Source organism: Homo sapiens, chromosome 2, assembly GCF_000001405.40.
Source record: "Homo sapiens chromosome 2, GRCh38.p14 Primary Assembly".
Lineage (NCBI taxonomy): Eukaryota > Metazoa > Chordata > Mammalia > Primates > Hominidae > Homo > Homo sapiens.
The window spans coordinates 154,380,599-154,402,110 of NC_000002.12; the positions used below are offsets into that span (position 1 = coordinate 154,380,599).

General features: G+C 34.8%; 1 protein-coding gene across 20 annotated transcripts in view, besides 1 other annotated feature; it reads left to right on the forward strand.

Moving 5' to 3' along the window:
- The window catches only part of GALNT13 (polypeptide N-acetylgalactosaminyltransferase 13), a 1,388,282-nt gene that overhangs the window by 1,312,306 nt on the left and 54,464 nt on the right, over positions 1–21,512 (forward strand). For 19 of the 20 annotated variants that reach the window (XR_007069045.1, NM_001422882.1, NM_001422883.1 and 16 more), the window contains one exon: positions 15,393–15,532. The exons of the other annotated variant lie outside the window; for it this stretch is intronic. Coding sequence is in view for 18 of the 19 variants with exons in the window: in NM_001422882.1 (NP_001409811.1) it covers positions 15,393–15,532 (140 nt within the window). In the remaining variant the exon portion in view is untranslated. The remainder of the gene's footprint in view (positions 1–15,392; positions 15,533–21,512) is intronic. 20 annotated transcript variants of the gene reach the window in all.
- Positions 20,190–20,734: an enhancer, noted in NCBI's record as "OCT4-NANOG hESC enhancer chr2:155257300-155257844 (GRCh37/hg19 assembly coordinates)". NCBI's record gives its function as "activates a minimal SCP1, AML or CMV promoter by ChIP-STARR-seq in primed H9 embryonic stem cells {active_cell/tissue: H9 hESC(primed)}" and the evidence as "EXISTENCE:reporter gene assay evidence [ECO:0000049][PMID:30033119]".

Here is a 21,512-nt window from a genome sequence, read left to right on the forward strand (position 1 = left end):
ATCAAAAGACATTCCAAGTGAAATCTGAAGACACAAAGGGGCAACATATTGTCTATCAATATGTACAAATATGTGTACTAAATTGCCACGAACTTGGTGGCTGAAATCCAGACATATTTATTATTTCTCAAGAGTCTAGGGATGGCCTAGCTGGGGCCTCTGCTTCAGGGTCTCTCACATGCCTGCAATTAATGTGTTGATGGGGGCTGCAATCTCATCTCATGGCTCAACTGGGGAAGAATCTGCTTCCAATTTTACATGTCAGAATTTAGTTCCTTGGAGATTGTCAGGCTGAAACCTTTAGTTTCTTGTCTGTTTGCCAGCATTTTCTTATGTGGCCCTCTCCATAAGGCAGCCTACAACATGGCAGTTTGCTTCACCAATGCCAGAAATGCAGAGAGTAAATAGAGTTCCTGCTAACAAGATGTAATATAATCATCAAAGTGACACCTCATCATTTTTGTCCTATTTTCTGGATTAGAAGCAAGTCATAGGTTCTACCTACACTCAAGGGCAAGGGGTCACACCTAGACATAAATATCAGGAAGTAGGGGTAATAGCCTTTTTAGAGTCTCTTTGCTACAGAAAATAATGTGGAACCAAACAAGTAAACAATCCTTGGAAATAGCCAAATAAAAACCACTTTTTATCAATAAATTCCCAAACAATTAAACCAGGAGGCACTTTCTGTAATGCTCACCCACTCTTCTCTATCTCATTTCCCCTACCTTTATATCTCAGCTCAAAGATCACTTTCCTCAGAGAAGACTTCCCTGACCACCCCTTCCTGACCACCAGTGAATCAGTTGCCTATTCTTTGCATTTATTCTCTGTACATCTCTCAAATACACTTGTAATCTCACATTTGTTAATTTTTGTGTGGGCTATCTTATTAAATCCTGATTAAGCTGATGAGGAAAGAAACTGTATAGAGGTTTTGTGGAACATTGTATCCCCATCACCTAGGACAGTGTGTAACATAAGATGCACAACAAAACGTGAGGGAAGGAACAGAGGTTAAGGACACTAACCTGGAAGTCAGGAAACCTAGTTTCCAATGTGGGTTCTTTCACTTACTAGCTGTTCTGTTTCACCCAAGTCCAATCATATTTCCAAGCCTCAGGTTATTCATGTGTGAAAGGTCATTTTCTAATGCAAATGGTTGGAACTTTGATGCAATTTTTTGATTTTATACTGTTGTTAATAGTTACATTTTTATTGTATTGAAATTTTTTCCCCAGAATCTTTTGGCAGCTGCTGCCTTCATCTTTTGACCAGTGATTTTGAGATATGCCCAAACAGTTTGCAACAGGCAAATTTAGAGGATAAGAGAAGTAATGTGAGAAGCTTAAATCAACATTTGTAAATTACATATATTTTAAGAAACACTCCTGATGCTCTTCAGAGTTTGTGCATTTGAATGCCACAGCTATGATATAATTCAAAATGTTTTCCTTTCCCCTAGACAAATGAAAACCTCACCAGAAAACAAACTACATTACACACATGTTGTTTCCTTTCAAGATGTTGGCATCCTGCCTTCCCCTTCAGCTGCCCAATCCCCTCTATGGACACAGAGGGTTTGTTAAATTAAATGGTAGCATAGTCCTAGACCAATGATATCTTGAAACAAATATAAAGCTCTAAAAAAGAAGAGAGGCATGTTAGAATTCTCTATGTAACAGAGAACTAGACTATTATGTAGAAGAATATTTTAGCATCACAATAGTACAGCTGACATGCTTGGCCTGCTTTCATCATGACTGAATGTTACCCTTATTTAGTGATTACTGAGAAGTTCTCATACCAAGCAGTGTTAAGTTCAGTTTTTGAAGTGTATCTTATGTATGCAATAAATAACTCTGCATTGTTTTCAGTATCAATTCTTTGACATGACCAGTGCTAGAAGAAGATAAATACTGCATGGGAAACCCAGGAGCAGTATGTTACTCTACCATTCCCTGAAGTCATATGTCAAACTCATGGTTATTGAAATTTTCCTCATAGATTGTTCCACAGTTAACAGTGCACAGTGTCCTGCGGGTAACTAATGATTCTCCTGTAGCCTTTTCCAGCTTACTCATTTATAGTAGTTTAGGACAGAAGGGGAAAATTGGTTGACAGTTGAGGCCATGAATACTTTTTACAATTGTTCTTTCAATCCACAAATAACATGTTCTCTTAAAACGTTTTTTTTTTTTAAATATAAGTTTCTACTGTTCTTAGTAGTGTGTCTTAACTGAGAGACTGTGGTTATGGAATTTGTGTTTTTCTTTGTTACTGTGTGGCATTTGTGTCAAAATCACCCTGGTACAGAAATGTAGATAGGAGAAATGGCAAGTGCAGAGAGGTGGGGAGCATCAGTTTCATGTTTATTAGTACTTTGGGGTTAGAAAAATCCACGGGCCAAGACCTTAAATGATACCTCTAAGAGTGCGATTCTGAGACACACTGGAGGTGAGGTATAGTATGCTGCTCATTGAAAAGACATCTGAGCCAGAGTAAGTGGTTGATTTCCCACTTCGTTCATCTGGTATACAACAGAAGTACACAATCCCAGAAAATAGGCTAGCCTACTCTTCTGTTAGGAGATGATGTACCTCCTGAGGTGCATATACACAAGAAAACAACAGACATAATGGGTAACATTTAGTGAGTATTTACTATGCATGATGCACTGTTTGAGTGTTTTATATGTTAACTCATTTCATAATCATAGTAGCACTCAGTAAAAGGTGCTATTATTAGCACTGCTGTATAAATAGAAATCTTTAGATGTCATAAAGAACATTCCTGCTGAAAAAAAAATTATATGCCCTATGTTTACAGTCTGCCTAGATAGTCAACAATTGACTATTCATAGTTATTTATTTCCTTGGTTTGAGTTAACATGTTCCATAATATAATCTCAGATGCTCCTTGAGTTACTAAATTGTAACAACAATTCACAGTAGTCTTCCTGGGTCATACTGTGTTTTTTCTTTACTAACTCATAATTTTAAAACATAATTAGATTTTCTTAACTGCTTTGCAAAACAGAATGCTGACTAAATACAGACTAGACCAATGCACTTTAATAAATATTAAAATATTACTGTTATGATATTCTTTTATCAATGAGGCCAACTAATACTTTGAAGCCGATTTTTCATAAACTTATTGCTATCTATATAGCTATATCTATATACAAGAGTAATATAAAATATATATCTGAATAAGTCCAAATCACTTTTTAGTAAGTGTAGGTAGTAATTCTAAGACATAAAAGCAAATATATAGAGATATATTTCTAAAACATACATATATATGTGTGTCAGAGAGAGAGAGAGAATAAGACAGAAGAGAGGGCACATGACAGAGCTCTGCAAATAGTAGTTCAGCTAATATTTAGAGAATGTCTACTGACACCAGGTACTGTTTTAGGAACTGAATGTAAATACACATATCAGCAAATATGTGTTTGCTACCATTGTCTTGGTTTCATTAAAAATTTGTGATTAAAACTTGTTAATGGAAGAATTTGAAAAGTACATGGAAGGAATTATGTTTTGTTCAAAAAGATTTTTCTCTAATGGGATCAATTTATGTTTTGCTAGTGACTAATATTTTTGGTTAAATATAGAAAATACAACAAAGCTGTGTTTCTCAAAATATTTTCAGTGGAGCACTGTTGTCTCAAATTCTGGAAAGCGGAAAATGAATCTAGAAAATGTGAATGCCTTTGGTTATTCATGATGCACTTTACCATAATAAATAAAGACACCTATTTAACTTTGTTTTACCCATTCTTTCCATTAAAATATAAGCAGATTGTAAATAATTAAAGAATAAATATATTTCATCTAATTTAGACTGCCATCAATTGAAAGATCACCATTATATAATATATCTCTAAGAAAAAATTGTTTAAACTATAATGCAAAACTTCCTTTTTACCTAGAATTACTTTGTCCCTATTAAAGGAACTCTTTTAGACATAACTAATTCAAAACCAGCTTTTAAATCATATGTCATTCATGTATATACATAAAAATATAAGCAAAGGAATTGATCAAGCAGCTTTATATTTGCAGGATGACTCTTTTGAATCACTTTTCAATGCAAATTAACTGATGTTCATGTGTTTCCTACCCACTGTCATTCTCAGTGCCATTAAGAAGATTGACAATCCAGGCTATCTTAAAATCATGATTCAGTATTATGCCGAGGATATTCTTTCAAGTCCCTGAAACCATTCAGGAAATTTTTATCTTGGTACTTTTTTATTTTACCAGAAGGGATCAAAGGAAGCTTTTTCAAACAACAATTAAGATGCATTAAAATGTCCCCTAATTTAAATGGCCATAATTATCTACTGAAACTGCAGTTGGCTACTGATTTTAGAGATGGGAAAACATATTTGCACATGCTAAAGCAGTGACGACTACAATAAAGTTGCTTTCTCACCAACAGCAATGGTAAGATATCATTGATTATAAAACATAGCACTATTTCAGAAAGGTTCAAATAAGATAGTATGTGGCATATAACTGAAGAAACAGTTATATCTAACTAGCTTCCTGCAGCACTAGTGATGGATGGGGCATAATTTTAAAGCACTTTAGGAAATATTTTCGTTTGTCAGTCAATTGCACACTGAAATCTTCTGGCTTGTATTTAATTGTCAGATCAATAAAGTAACTCATTATATATGAATTCAAGTTTGGGATCTTGGATCAATCACACTGATGTTAGGTCAGGGAGAATTTGCAACGTGAGTCCTATCATTCAAGGGATGATAATTACCATGTTCTGTACCCAGGAAAATATTTCCCTTTATAGGTTTTTCAAACTTCCTCCAGTTTCATGACCCATTCTAGTAGAGTGAACAAGAGCATGGATTTTGATATTAGATAAAAGTGAACAACATTTGACCCTACTTCTGCTATTTTCTAAGTATACTTAATAAAGTTATTTAACCATTCAAAGTCTTAATTCTTTCATCCTTAAAACAAGTAACAATAATAATAGATAAAAATGCTATATAGACTTAATGAGAATGTGTATCCAAAAGTGCTTACTATGTAGTCGGGAACATGAAGTCCCTTAAGTAATAGTTTATCTGTTGTTCCAGTACTTCCGGTGCCTAACTAAACCATACTACTCCATGGAGGGATAGATGAGTGTCCTCTTTCAATAATGGTCCAATATGGCTTTCTACATTCTAAATTCTTATGATACATGGGAAGAACATAGAGGGATACCTCATCAATTATAAAGTTAGCAATATTTGTCAGATATAGGAAGTCAGTTGCTAAGGAAAAACACAGCTTTTCCTGCTTCTGAGTCCACAAAAGAAATTACTCTTGAGATTTCTAATAAAAACAAAATGCAAAACAATAGCAACAACATGTATGATAAGATAGTCAAAGGCCTCAGCATAACACAAAATGCTGGTACAATAACAAGTTTGGTGTCACTATTTTTTTTTGTACTGACTCTCAATATCTTACCAAGACACCAGAAATTCAGTCTTAGGTCCTGCTGGTTGCTGCACAGAAATTCAATCACCAAGACGATGAGTATTGCCAGGGAAGAAGACTTGAAATCAGTGATGCAGCTGAGGAGATGGGAGATAGTCTCAAATTCATCTCCTCAACTGACTAAAATTAGGGGTTTATATAGCAGGGGAAAAAAATGTAACCATGTGTGGGAAAACAGAATAAGGGAGGAGTAAAGAAGTGGAGTTGATCCAAAGGAAGCAGGTGGTAAGTAAGGCAATCATGATGGGTCAGTGGTCTGTAATCTCATTGTCCATATGTGGTGATCTGGTAAGTTTCAGTTCCTTGATACTATCTGGGTGGCCTGATGGTTGGTTTCCTGAGAAAGTACTCAGATAAGACAAATATAACTTTCTCAAGTTTCAAGACTGGGAGGGTCAGTTTTTATGCTTATTCAAAAGAAATGATAAGCATCAGTTCTGTGGGACAATTGGACCAGTTTCAAATGAAAACCAATATCATAATTCCAAATCCTCATTTAGACTTGATAGGGGTCAAGATAATGCTGAAATATACAGCTATATATTAGACTGAGTTAATTCTAGATAAAATTTTGATAGCCTGCAGACTGTTCAGTCTGTGTTTGTCTCAATGGATATCAAATTGTTCTTTTATTTTAAAAGACTACTGCAAATACTCACTTTTCTTATTTCCCATATTCTCAATGATCTTGGACCAAGCATTTGAATATGAGATCTTTATTGTCACACTGATCTGAAGTTTGAGGTAATTGCCTAGAAAACTCAGCCTCAAGACCTGCTGTAACTTTTGACTGTGGATATTAGAGTTAAATAAATTGAAAGTTGTCTGATAATCCTCTTCCTGTGTGACAGCTCTGTGCAGAAGCTATGATTTTGTAAAATTCATTATCTCATTTTTACTCCATTAAAATAAAATTGTGGTAATAATAGTAAATGATAAATTCAACACATAATCACTATGTATTATTAGTTGGAATAGTCAATCAGCCAGTTAATGTAGTTCTGTCCACTGACATGCTAATGAGAACTTATGAGCCTGGGTAATTTGTATGGACATAGGGAATAGATAAAAAGGTAGATTAAGGGAATAGTTTTAAATTTAAAAACAACAATGATAATTCCAAGAAATCGCCTAAACCTCTGAAACAATACAGTATCATTTATGTACTTACAGGCTTATTCATATTTTTAATTGACAAGTTTTAACAGTAATCATAAGGCACAATGTGATGTTTTGAGATTACACATACAGACACAAACAGTATGGAATAAATAAATCAAGCTAATTAACATAGCCATAACCTTGCTTACCTATTATTTTTAGTGATAATGTCCTAGTTATTTGAAAATACACAATGCATCGTTGTTGACTATAGTCACCTGATGAGCAATAGATCCCAAAACGTGTTTCTCCTATCTGAAATTTTATAGTCTTTGATTAATAACTCCTCATTCCTCCCTCCTCATGCCTGTAGCCTGTGGTAACCATCATTCTATTCTCTACTTCTGTGAGTACAACTGTATTAGAATCTACACATAAGTGAGGTCATGTGGTATTTGTTTTTCTGTGCCTGGTTTATTTCACTTAGCATAATGTCCTTCAGCTTCATTCATGTTGTCAAAATGATGGGATTTTCTTCCTTTTTAAGGCTAAATAGTGCTTCATTGCATAGAATACAACACTCTCTTTATCTGTTCATCTGTTGATATACATTTAGGTTGATCCCATTTCTTGGCTATTGTGAATAATGCTGCAGTGAACAAGCGAGTGCAGATATCCCTTTGACATATTGATTTCATTTCCTTTATATAAACTCAGAAGAGGAATTACAGTGTCATGTGGTAGTTCTATTTTTAGTTTTACAAGGAAGCTCCATACCACTTTTATAATGGCTGTACTAATTTATATTTCCATCAACAATATCTAAGAATTCCCATTTCTCCACATCCTCTCCAACATGTGTCTTTTATATTTCTGATAAAAGTCACTCTAACAGGTGCGAGACGATACCTTATTGTGGCTTTAATTTGCACTTTCCTAATGATTAGTGATGTAAGCATTTATTTCATGTGTTTATGGGCCATTTGAATGTCTTCTTTTGAGAAATGTTTGTTCACGACCTTTGCCCATTTTTAATCAGGTGTTCTCTTGTTTTTGAGTTGAGTTCCTCATGTATTTCAGATTTTAATCCCTTATCAGATCCATGGCTTACATTTGTAGGCTTTCTCTTCACTTTGTTAATTGTTTCCTTTGCTGTGCAGAAGCTTTTTAGTTGGAAACCATCAAACTTGTCCATTTTTGCTTTTGTTGCTTGTGCATTTACAGTCAAATCAAACAATTTTTGTCCAGACAAATATGGACTATTTCTCCTGTGTTTTAGTACTTTTACAGTTTCAGATCTTAAATTTAAAATTTTAATCCATTTTGATTTGATTTTTATATTTGGTATAAGATAAGAATAAGATCTAATTTCTTCTTTTGCATGTGGATCTCCAGCTTTCCCAATACCATTTACAATTTGGTATTTAGATGCAATAGAATACAATAATTGCTAGCTGGATTAACAATGGCTTATTATTATATTATTTTAAAAAGGAGAAAAATGCAGATTCTTATTCATGAAGTTCATAATTACAATTACTGAGAGTAAATAACAAAATAAAGTCCACTTTCTATTTGGAATTTAGAAAATATCACAAAAAAATTATTAGCTTAAACTGTATATACTGGTCTACTCCTGTAATGTGAATATATATCATTAATATGACATACATAACAAACTTTATAATCAACTGCATAGTTTTGACTGTTAAAGGTAAAAAGGAGCTTTATCTCAATTTTTTATTATTTCATATATTTTAATTACAATAGCTGTATAATAAACATTCATGTGGCTTAACATTTTTCCATATTCTTACATAGACATAATTATTTTAATACGAGAGTTGTATTTTGTCAACCAGATATAACTTTGATTTGCTTAAGCATTCTTTTTGTTTTGTTTTGTTTTTGTTTTTGGGGGGGTGGTTTTTTGAGATGTGGTCTCGCTCTGTCACCCAGGCTGGAGAACAGTGGTGCCATCTCGGCTCACTGCAACCTCCACCTCCCGGGTTCAAGTGATACTCCTGCCTCAGCCTCCCAAGTAGCTGGGATTACAGGCACCCACCACAACTGGCCAGCTAATTTTTTGGTGTTTTTAGTAGAGACAGGGTATCACCATCTTGGCCACGCTGGTGTTGAACTCCTGGCCTCAAGTGATCTGCCCACCTCGGCCTCCAAAATTGCTGGGATTATAGGCATGAGCCACAGTGGCCACTTAAGCATTGTTTATTGAATAAAAATAATTTCCCTTTTAAGTTATGCTGCAATATGTATTCTTGTGCATGAAATTGTAAGCTTTGGCATGCATTAGGGTATTCTTTCTTCAGGTACTTTGATTTTAGAGAGACAGAACTATTAGACTTACTAGACATCTATTAGGGGAAGAATTTAACTGAAATAATTATTATCATTGAAATGCCAGGGGTTTGGTCTAAGGCCCATTGCTTGCCTCACAGAAGTCCAATCCCTGAGACAATGAGTATTGCCAGGGAAGAAGGCTTTAACTGGGTGCTGCAACCAGGGAGACAAGAGAGCAGTCTCAAATCCATATCCTCAATTGACTAAAATTAGAGGTTTATATAGCAGCAAAAAAAATGTAATTATGTGTAGGGAAAACAGGAATTAGTGAGGGGTATTAAAGAGGAGCTGGTCAACAGGAAGCAGTTGGTTGGTTTAGGCAGTCATGATGGGTGAGGGGGTCTGGTGTCTCACTGTCCAGATGCAGTGATCTGGTAAGTTTCAGTTCCTTCAAAATGTCTGGGTGGCCTGATAGTTGATTTCCTAAGAAAGGAACTTGGATAAGACAAATACAATTTTCTCAAGTTTTAAGACTGAGAGGGTGAATTTCTATGTTTATATAAAAAAATCATAAATATCAGTTCTATGGGACAGTTGAGCCAGTGTCATTATGATCTTCCATCTAATATCTATTTAAAATTTAAAACATGATTTCTCTAAAGAGTGAATTTAATACTATAATGCAATAGACTTACTATGAATAAAAGACAGATTTTTTTATACTTAAATTCAGGGTGCATGTACAGATTTGTTACATGAGTAAACTTGTGTCAAGGAGGTTTGTTGTACAGATTATTTTATCACCTGGGTATTAACCCTAGTACCCATTAGTTATTTTTCCTGATACTCTTTCTCCTCCCACCCTCCATCCTCCAATAGACTACAGTGTGTATTGTTCCCCTCTATGTGTCCACATGTCCTCATGAGTTAACTCCCACTTATAAGTGAGAGCACGTGGTATGTGGTTTTCTGTTCCTGTATTAGTTTGCTAAGGATAATGGCTTCCAGCTCCATCCATGTCCCTGCAAAGGACATGATCTCGTTCTTTTTTATGGCTGCATAGTATTCCATGGTGTATATATACCACATTTGCTTTATCTAGTCTATCATTGATGGACATTTAGCTGGATTCCATGAAAAGACAGCTTATTTAAAAAAAATAGGAGCCCATAAATTTTATCATTTACCTATTAATGAAACCTGCAAACCTGGAATTAATTAAAATACTCTTTTGTTGGTACTCATTATGCATCTTTATTTCATTGTCAAAGCCTTTACATGGCTTTTGCAAGTTCCATTGAAAGACTTGCCTTAAAAACTTATAAATTTTTGCCACAGCGTGTGTCACCTTCTAATGTATTTACTGTTTATTTAGGTCTTTCTCCAGTAGAATATAAACTCCATGGAGGAAGATAATTTTGTTTTGTTCACAGATATATCCCAAGTGCCTAGAAAAGTCCCTTGTACAGAGCTTGACCACAGTAAATATCTGTTACCTTAATCTTGGCTTGGCCTCTGCTGTCTATCTTTAGATAGTCTTCTCTTTTACGCTCACACTCTATATCTTTCCATATGTGGATTTATCTTACTTCTATATTGGTGTCACTTTCATAGGCCTTTGTTGTATGGTAGCCCCAAAAACTCCAGGCTTAACTCATCTATACAGCTACCCAGTTCCAGAGGAAATAGAGTTTCAACTTTCTAATAGCCCTAGTGTATTCTCAAGGGTATGCTTTTATTAGGCTGACTGGTTTATTTGCCCATTCCTGAGTCAGTCATTGTTATCTGGGTTATATGTAAGGAATTGAAATAGAATGCTCTAGTTATTTTGGGTGCTAATCAAAATCTGGACTGAGCAAAAGCAGGATCCCTTGGAGCTTGTTAGAAATATGGACCCTAAGGCCCCCACTCCAGACCAACTGAATCAAATTGCATATTAACTAGATTTTCTGGTGATGTGCCTTTAGTCTGTGCTCACAGATGGAACTGGAAGAGTGGGGAAGGCAATGAAACCAGCCCCATCCAAGCTGAAAGTGAAGTGGGAGTGGTTTCCCAGAGAAACTCAAGTGCTTTTACCAGAGGGCAGAATGGATGTCAGGCGTGCAAAACAACAGCTATCCAATGCAATATATGATGTGTATTAAGCAATTATTATATTCCAGTCATTGTACTAAACCTTTTCCAGGCATTATTTATTTAGTAGTCACAATATCTTGTAAGATATTATCAGGTAGGATACCTTATCCTTCAAAAAAGATAACTCATCATCCAAAGTTTTTGTTGAGAAGGCAGTGAGCAAAGTGATCTGAAATATGATATCAGATAGTAATAAGTGCCATGGAAAAAAATTAAGCACGATAGAGGGATAAAGACAGACCTAGGAAGATGAGAGAAAGTGATCAATTTTGATAGGAAGGTCAGAATAAACCTGAAGAAGTAAATTTTCAGCAAAGACTTGGACCAAGTAAAGAACAACTCATGAAAGTTGCAGGGTAACACCATTACAGACAGAAAAAAAGAAGTATAAAGCCTTGAATTGTTGAATTATGAATGAACGTGGGATGTTTGAAGAAATGTAAAGAATGAAAAAAAGTGGGGCTAGAATGAAGATGTTACTGAAACACAGGGGTTCTGTCTGTGTCCTGCTGCTTGCTGCACTGGAAGTCAATCACCAAGACAACCAGTATTTACAGGGAAGAAGGCTTTAATAGGTTGCTGCAGCCAAGGAGATGGGAAATCAGTCTCAAATTCATCTCTTCAACTGACCAAAATTAGGGGTTGATGTAGCAGGGAAGAAATGTAACCATGTATGGGAAACTAGGAATTAGGGATAAGGAAGAGGAATTGATCAACAAGAAACAGGTGGTTAGGCAATCATGACAGGTGAGGGGGTCTGGTGTCTCACTGTCCAGATGCGGTGATCTGGTAAGTTTCAGTTCCTTTATATTATCTGGTTGGTTTCCTGAGAAAGGAACTTAGATGAGACAAATGTAATTTTCTCAAGTTTCAAGACCAGGAGGGCCATTCTTTCATGTTTATTCAAAAGAAACCATAAACATCACTTCTGTGGGACAATTGGGCTGGTTTCAAAGTGAGTATAAATGAATTCAAAAAGCCAGCCAAGAGCTATTTTCTAAAGGATCTTCAGGCAATGGTTAAGACAGATTCAATTATTCTTAGTGTTATGGAAAATCACGGTACACTTTTGGTCAGGGGAGTAACATGATTTGATTTGTATTTTAAATATATTGACTAAGGAACAGGCAATAGTGAATAAAATATAGGTAGAGGAATGTAAAATGTTTTGGGGCTAGTTAGGAGACTATTGCAATGCTAGTGTAAGCAAGAGATAGGAGAAGTTAGGACCAGGATGGTAACAGTAGAGTGGCTGAGGATATATTGTGAAGTAGAGCCAACAGGAATTCCTAATGAGTTAAAAATGTATATGTGCGAGAGAAAGAAAATTATTTGTTTTTCCTTGAGAAAATCAGTGGATATTTGTGCTAGATACTGAAATGAAGAACCTTGGAGATGGAGCAAGTTGGAGAAACAAATTTTTGACTTGTCAAATTTGAGATGCTTAGTATAGATCCCAGTAAAATTATTGGGTAAACAATTGGATAACCTACTTTGAAGAGGTTTGAGTTGCAGATAAGAGTTTGGGGAACAAGTAAGATTACATATCAAACCATGGATCTGAATAATCTAATTCAGGCTCTACAGTCACTAAATCATACAGCACAAGAAAAGTCTCTCCATCTTGTAGCTGCACCCACTGGGATACAAGTCCTCCTCAGTCCCTGTGGCAAAGGAAAAGAAAGCTCTCATACTTGCTTTCCTATCTTTAAAATCAGAAGTGACATAACCCCTTTCTCTCACAGTTTGTTGGCCAGGACCAGTTAGATGTCCTTACCTAACTGCAGGGACCTGAGAAATGTGGAGGAGTACATGGAGTGTTTGTGAGGACTGTTGTCTCTTAATATGTCTCACTTCTAAGAAGAAAAACATGGATTCAGAGAGAAAAAGCCATTCTCACCAAAATGTTAAGATAGCCCACCATATTTTTTTGTACATTTCTAAAGGTAATTTAGCATAATTATCTAGGATTAGAACAAAAGCAAGTTGCAGTGGAAATGCCAGGGGGCGGCTTAGAGGTGGCAGGATAAGAAGGCTTTTGCTTTATTCAGTAATCTCTATAATTCCCCATTAGCCACTTTTTGCCAAATCTGAAGTGGACAATTAATGTTTTCTCTGACCTCATATAAAATGGTATGCAAGGCCGGGCGCGGTGGCTCACGCCTGTAATCCCAGCACTTTGGGAGGCCGAGGCGGGCGGATCACGAGGTCAGGAGATCGAGACCATCCCGGCTAAAACGGTGAAACCCCGTCTCTACTAAAAATACAAAAAATTAGCCGGGCGTAGTGGCGGGCGCCTGTAGTCCCAGCTACTTGGGAGGCTGAGGCAGGAGAATGGCGTGAACCCGGGAGGCGGAGCTTGCAGTGAGCCGAGATTGCGCCACTGCACTCCAGCCTGGGCGACAGAGCGAGACTCCGTCTCAAAAAAAAAAAAAAAAAAAAAAAAAAAGGTATGCAAATGAAACTTTAAATTTTCATTTCAATCAGATAACTGCTCAGAAAAACCTTCTAGGACTTTATCTTTTAGAGCAGAGGTTGGCCACTGTGACCCATGTGCCAGAACCAGCTCACTGTCCATTTTTTAATGACCCAAGATCTGATTTTAAGTACTTGAGGAAAAGTCAAAAGAATAGTATTTCATGACGTGAAAATTATGTGAAATTCATATTTCATTGTCCATAAATAAAGTTTTATTGGAAAACACATGCACAAAGAAACCCTTCTAGGAAGATGTTATGGAGCCAGAACTACCAAATCTTAACATGATGAAAAAGGGAGGATGTTGATATTAAATAAGCCACCTCAATTAAATCCACCCACCTCAAAAATGAAAACAGAACAGTAAAATTGACTATTGAATTAAGTCCTCTGAAGATACAGTGTTTTGCCTCCCCACCAGGCACAATGTCATCTCTTTATATGATTTTGAGGAAAATGTATTCAATTATTTCAACTGTAATAATACTTAACATAATGAGAAATTCTTCTAGTGATTTATTTTTGTAAATACTAAATTGTTTTGAGCTTCTTATTTTGAAGGTTGCATTCCGGATTGGAAGTTCTGAATAGAATTATTTCGAAAGCAAATATTTATCTGTTTAAAAAGCCCAAAGACCTTGTTTTTTCTGCCCAAACACCAGCTAGGAAAATCAATATTTTCTCTTGGAAGGAAATGGTTTGGCTGCTTCAGCATCAGAATGCTTTCTAATAACACTATGGCATTTAATTTTGAAAAAACAAAAGTTCTGAAGAGACAAGAAGGTCGGAGCTAGTGAATGATGAGTTTTGAGTGTTGCTGCTTTGGAAAATAGTGGCTTGGTAATGGCATTAGTTAAAGACATTTAGATTGTCTAAACACTTGCTCTATTTTAGACAACAATTGGCTGGCTTTGTTACTTGGTTGGGATAGAATATCCTAAATACTAGGCCATTTTGTGCCAGCATGTTGCATAGTGGCCTTAAAGAAGAAAGTTAAACATTGAAATATTTTCAGAATATTCTAAGAATAATTGCTGTCTTGTCACAGTTATTACTTATTTCAATCAAATGCCAATATTAATATTGAGCAAACCAAGTTGTCGTAAAATTTTTTATAAAAATTAGTAGCATTATTATTCCTCAACTAGAAAACATTCTTTTCTGATTTTCAGTGGAAATATTCATTTAAATATCAAATATTCTATTATGTGAAATAAAATTAATCATTTTTCATATATACATGTGAATATATTTCTGTTCATTTGTTTGTTAGTTTCTTTACACTTAGATATTTGCTAACTTTTTCAAGGACAATGGTAGCTTAGAATAACTCAATAAATCAATAAAAATTAAGTTTATGGTAACTAGATAGAAGTTCAAGAAAAAGAACATATGTACAGTCTATTACGTGAATTATTCTATATAAATTTCGTATAAAATCTACAGGTGGTGAATAAGTGACTCTATAGGGAAAGTGTGAATATTAACAAAAACATTGGCACTACTAGAATTTTTTATTAAGGAGAAACAGACATATTACACAGCTCAGTTAAGCTTTGATTATGAGATACTAAATACCAATTTACATTTAGTTAATTAATTATTCAATCTAAGTAGTACAAGTACTTGGTGATAAATATTTGTATTTGAAAAGTCATAACCAATGGGAGAAGTGTTATTTATATCTATTTAATGTACTAATTCGATGGTAGTAAAAATCCAGTGGAGTAGCAGCTGCATATGCAATTGAATTTGCTGGAATTATGAAGAAGAAAACTGATAGCAAAGTAAATGTAGTAAAACAGTACTAAAACAAAAATAGCACAAACTGATTTGTGTTTCTCTGAAAAATTCCAGGTGTTGTCAAAGTGGATTATGGAGATGTGTCAGTCAGAAAAACACTAAGAGAAAATCTGAAGTGTAAGCCCTTTTCTTGGTACCTAGAAAACATCTATCCGGACTCCCAGATCCCAAGACGTTATTACTCACTTGGTGAGGTATGAATTATTTATTTTGGTTAAGTTATAAATATATTTTGCAAATGGAGCAATTTCTAAGGAGCTCAGTATTTTTTATGTTATGAAAATGCTGTAAGGGATTTTTAATTAGATCTGTTTTAAACAACTTCTCATATTTCAAGGACCATGAAGTCTTCATCATAAGGAATCATAAAAATGAGCAGAAATTTTAACATTGAACAAAAAAAAAATTTTTTTAACAGTTCTAAAGCTTTTGGTCATTTACGTTCTTAAAATTTACTGTGTACCCCAAACACCTTTTGTTCATGTGGGTTACAACTGTTATTAATATTTACTGTATTTAAATTAAAACTGAGAACTTTAAAACCCATTTTTTACTAATTAAACGTTATATAATAAACAATTACATGTTAATGTAAGTAACATATTTTTGAAAAGTTAATATATTTTTTCCAAGCAAAATCAAGTAATGATAAGAGAGTACCATTGATTGTATTTTTGTAAATTGCATTAATGTCTGGCTTAATAGAAGATAGCTGGATTGTCATATGTGCTTCGGTATTCCATCTATTGCTGCAATACAAGGCAGTCTATTACAATAGCCTCTAGAAAACTCTTATACACTCAGGAGAATGTGAAAGTGAAAACTGCAAGTAATATCTTGGTACTATAACAAAAGTGGTATTGACGTTGTAGACACTCTGAGAACCATTGATCTGCACCATTCTTTTCTACATATCTATTTTATCTTGAAATACAAAAATGACTTCATTATAACTATACAAACTGTATATAATGTATGTATAATATATAATATATTCATACTATAGATAATTATATATAATATATTCCTGTATTCATCTCATAGATTGATGATTATATATAATATATTCCTATATAGCATATATATCTCAATTGGTCAAAACAAGAATTATATTTCCTTTATGAATTATATCCTCCATATTGATAATTTTCCACTGAATAGGAATCAAAGCTACCTTAATATTGGTTGTGATTAAAGCATTTCAAGAGCAATAAATAGGCCGGGAGCAGTGGTTCACGACTGTAATCCCAGCACTTCGGGAGGCCAAGGCAGGCGGATCATGAGGCCAGGAGATCGACACCATCCTGGCTAACACAGTGAAACCCCGTCTCTACTAAAAATACAAAAAAAAACTTAGCCAGGCGTGGTGGCAGGCACCTGTAGTCCCAGCTACTCGGGAGGCTGAGGCAGGAGAATGGTGTGCACCCAGGAGGTGGAGCTTGCAATGAGCCGAGATCGCGCCATTGCACTCCAGCCTGGGCGACAGAGTGAGACTCCAACGACAACAAAAATAAAAGCAATAAATATGCACTTAGGAAATAATTATCAAGTAAACATATTCTTAGATTTAAAATGCCATTGTTGTAGACCATAATGGTAGAATATCTGAAAATGTATATGGTTTAATCTAATACTTTTTTGGGTCATCTGCCTTAATGCTCTGTAACTTTATAAACATATCTTACTTACAATTAACTAGAAAAAATGAAAGAAAAAAATACTTGAGGTGACTGGAACCCTAGCTGAATCGTTTTTAATGACTGATTTAAGTGCCATATTCATGCCTTATTGTCCAAGTCTCCACTTCCTCATTAGCCATGTAAATATCTCTCTATAGAGCTTGATTTACATATATTTAACTTTCATCTGAATAATGTAGTGAAAAATTTCATGTGTAATAGCATTGATTTTACCACTTTCTAAGTGTATGACTTTAGACTAGTCACTTAGTCCCGTACCTCAAAGTATTTTTTTGTTTGTTTTTATTGGAGAAGGAGGTATTGTTGCTATCATTTTCAAATGTGTAACATCCTCATGTTGGCACTGATCTCACAGGGATTTATATTTAATGCAGAAAATATACTACAGTGCTTTTTAAAATAGAATAGTCTTTGCATGTTAGTTATTACAAATCACTGAAGATCTCTGATAAAATATTTAATACCCTTATCACTTTATTGAAAATTTGTTTGAACATTCATGAACCTGACTATATCCTCAGAAGAAAGGAGTTTTTCTGTTCTTCTTATAAAATGTTTCTGTCACTGTTGTCAGTGGACCCAAATCATTAGTAAACATCGATTCCCTTTTCTAAAAGGAGGAATGACCAAGGGCTATAACAGGACAGAAATGAGCAAAGAGGACTTTTGGAAATCCTCTGGGGCCACCAAGGTGACTCCTGAGAAAGACTCAGGGCTCTGTAACAGAATTAGATGTTTAGTTCCAAGTTAAAAATCCAATTTTATGCTGTCCTGCACTATATCAAGGAAACCTAATTCACTTTCTAAAATGTAAAAATAAAATATAGTGTGGGCAAATTCCTTTGTACAAACTACTGATTTCAAATTAGCTATCTTCTAAATGGATCAGGTGACCATATTTTAATCTGTAGAAATACTTTAGGAAAAGATTTTAAAGAGAGGAATTGAGCCTTTCATAGCATCTAAAAGAGGCAGTATGGTGTATTGAAAACATTCCAGCCCCTGAAGTCAAGCATAGGAGGGTTCAAATCCTAGCCTTACAGCTTTCATTTTGAGTGGCATTAAGTATCCTCTCTACTACCTCTGTCAACAGAATAAAGATAATAATACTGGGTTATAGTGATGACTGAAGACATAAAACATCTAGCCCAATGCCTGGCAAGAATAGTAGCCTACCAGTAGTTACACTTATTATATCTACCATTTATTGATTTCCTATGCCAACAGTTATTCTAGGTGCTTTAGATGAATTACGTAGAAATTAGAACAACTTTCATGACTTGGATTTTATTATCGCAGGGTTAATAAGGAAACTGACACACAGAAAGTTTATGTGCTTGGCCTATAGGTCACACAGCTAGTTAACTATTGAAGTTAGGATAAATTACGTGCTAGTCCAACACTAAGGCTCACTTTTTCTTATAACTAGAAGGAGAAATAGATGATTTTATTATATTTTAATCATTCAAAATGTTTTTATTAAATAACTAAGAGCATGAAGCTGAGTGTGTTGGCAGGTGCCCATGGTCACAGCTATTCAAGTGGCTGAGGCAGTAGTATGGCTTGAGTCCAGGAGTTCAAGACCAGCTGAGTAACATAGTGAGAACCCATCTCTATTTAATAAAAATAAAAAAAGAACTTGAGCTATGTCTTAGTCCATTAGGGCTGCTATACCAAAATACCTTAGATTGGGTAATTTATAAATAATATAAATTTATTTGTCATAGTTCTGGAGATTAGGAAGTCCAAGATCAAGGTGCCAACCGATTTAGTGTCTGATAAAGGCTTCTAGGATGGCATGTTGTCACTAAGTCCTCATATGGAAAAAGAGGCAAATGATATATCCTCACATGGACAAAGGGGCAGGACAGCTCCCTTCAACCTCTTTTATAAGGGCACTAATCCCATTCATAAGGATGAAGCCCTCATGACTTACACACTTCCTAAAAGTCTCCACCTCTTGAATCTTCTGATTCATAGTTAGACATGTTATCTCTTGGGCCACTGGTCCTCTTGGCTGCACCTCTTAATACCACTACAATGGGGATTAGATTTCACCATGAATTTTGGATAAAGGCATTCAGACCATATCAAACTAAACCTTTTGTTATATGTTGAAAATACAAAGTCAAATAAGGAAAGACCTTTACTCTTAAGCCTTTCTACCAAAATAGGGATGCAGAGGTGGGTAGGGCAAGAGAGAATCAAACAAGTAAAGAAATTCAGTAGAAGTAAAAGATGCCCTGCATGGGTTATATGGTATAACGGCTGTTTAAAAAACCTGATACATTTAACAGATAAATTAAGTTCTGTGCTTTCTGGAGTATTAATGTACTGTAGTTTTCCACTTTAAAACTAGCCTTAAAGAAATGCAATCCAGCATCTGTTTCCATGGAAACAGAAGGACAAATTCACCAAGCACTACCTCCCAATTCAATTTTGCATGGCCACGTATACATAATTTAAGATGGACATTTTGATAATGAGTTAGAGTTGAACTGTTAATGAACAACAGTCATTTTCTAAAGCTTTTTCCTTCTTACTGCCTGTTATTAACCTTTATTGGAAAAATGTAAAAAGGTAATCTTTCCTTATGTATAAGGCACTTTCTCTTAAATAATTAGAGTCCCAAAGCAATATCAGGTGTTCAAGCTACTTGCCATCAAAACAAGAACAATATTTCTTTGCAGTATATTCATTTGTACTTCTCACTGAATTTGAAATGAAATTGGGTGGCTTTAACAATTTATATATTTTTAACTTCAATATTTTTCAAACTCTATTTGATATTGCTGTGTATTGGTGAATATAAATGTTTCCTTGTCAATTTCCTTTTATAACTTTCCTTGCTGTATTGGAATATATAGAGGCAAATATGGTATTCAGTTTTTCTATTATATACCATCACCAAAGTCAATAGTTATTGATATCAGATATCTGTATCTTAATTTATTTTATGTTTGCATCTTACTCAAGTAATTGAAATATTACTTTATCCAGCCCATGAATTACATGCAGTTTCCAATGGGAAGTTAAAAGCTGTGCAATTGCTTTGAACTAAAACCTTTAAGTAAGTTAATGAAGCATGTGTCTTTTAGACTCAGTAAGCAGATCATAATGGAATAAGGAAGTTGAGCTCTTTGCAGCATTAAATTCTCTCTTAACTAGCCCTGAAGCTTATGTAGATTTAACATGCTCGGTTCTGATCTTGTAAATTTAAGTGTAAGATTGAAAGAAATGGCATTCTAAAATAGAATGTCTCAGCCCAAATTTTTGGGTTATGACAGGCTTTCTGAAAAAAAAATACATTGTGAACTAAAATTGAACACAATCTGAGGGCAAATGAAGGAGATGAGGATTTCAGGAGCCAAGTGACAACTCTTGGTGCTTAAAATTTGCATTTGCATGTTGCTTTGAAGATGTTTCGACATTAGCATATGCATTTTGTATTGTGTACTTAACCTCGGGGTTTCTTTTTCCTCTTGTATCCTTTAGCCATAGTAAGTAGTTAAAGTTCTTGCCTATATTGGTATTGTATGCCTTAAATATTGCTGAAGAGCAAATTTACATAATGGAAAATAGACATCCATGAAGCTGCTAGGCTGCAGAGATTAAGGGTAAAATCAGTTACTGCCAAATGCAGAAGCTAAAACGCTTAAAAGTTTACCCTTTCTGTTGGTAATCAGATCTATTTATAGATTCACAGTCTTCTTGGCCCTTTAATAGGATGACCAGCAAGAAAGCCTTATTTTAGGTGACTTACGTAAATGCGGACATTTTTCTGTTCATTTTATTTCCAAAATTCTTGGGGACTCAGTAGCTAATTTTTATCCCAGGGTTTCTGAATATGTGTATGTGTAAGGAGAATATGTCACCCTTTATTGGATGGCTACCTTAAAGTATGTTGGGCTAGGCAACTCACCTGTGAACAAAGTGAGCTATTTTTATTACTTGAAAATATTGTATTTTTTTAACTTCATATTTCTAATAAACTAAAATTCATTCTAATTTTATTACTTAAATGTGTATTGGCAGAAACAGCTGCAACAAACTATATGCCAGTTTGGCATTTATTCAATTCTCTCAGGATTTTGGTTGTCACTGTTTTTGTTATCCACCAAATAAATTAAATTGTTTATTTTGCTATGTTCTTTACTTTTGGGGGGAAGGGATTTCAGATATCAGATAACAATAATTTTTGAATCTCACAGTCATTAATCAAGGACCTTCTAAATCCAGTTCTCCATAAGTGAAGTCAACTTGAATTGTTTCAGTATACAGATTTTGTTCTCATCTTTCTGATTTATTCACAATTAGATTAAACAGAAAATATGCTTTAAATGCATATCCACAAGAGCAATCATATTATGGAAATATTAACATTAAGCTCTGGAATTCACTGCAAATGTGCTTATTTCTGTCTTTACAAAGAAAAGAGAAAACAAATGAGGTTGACATTTGTAAAATAATGATA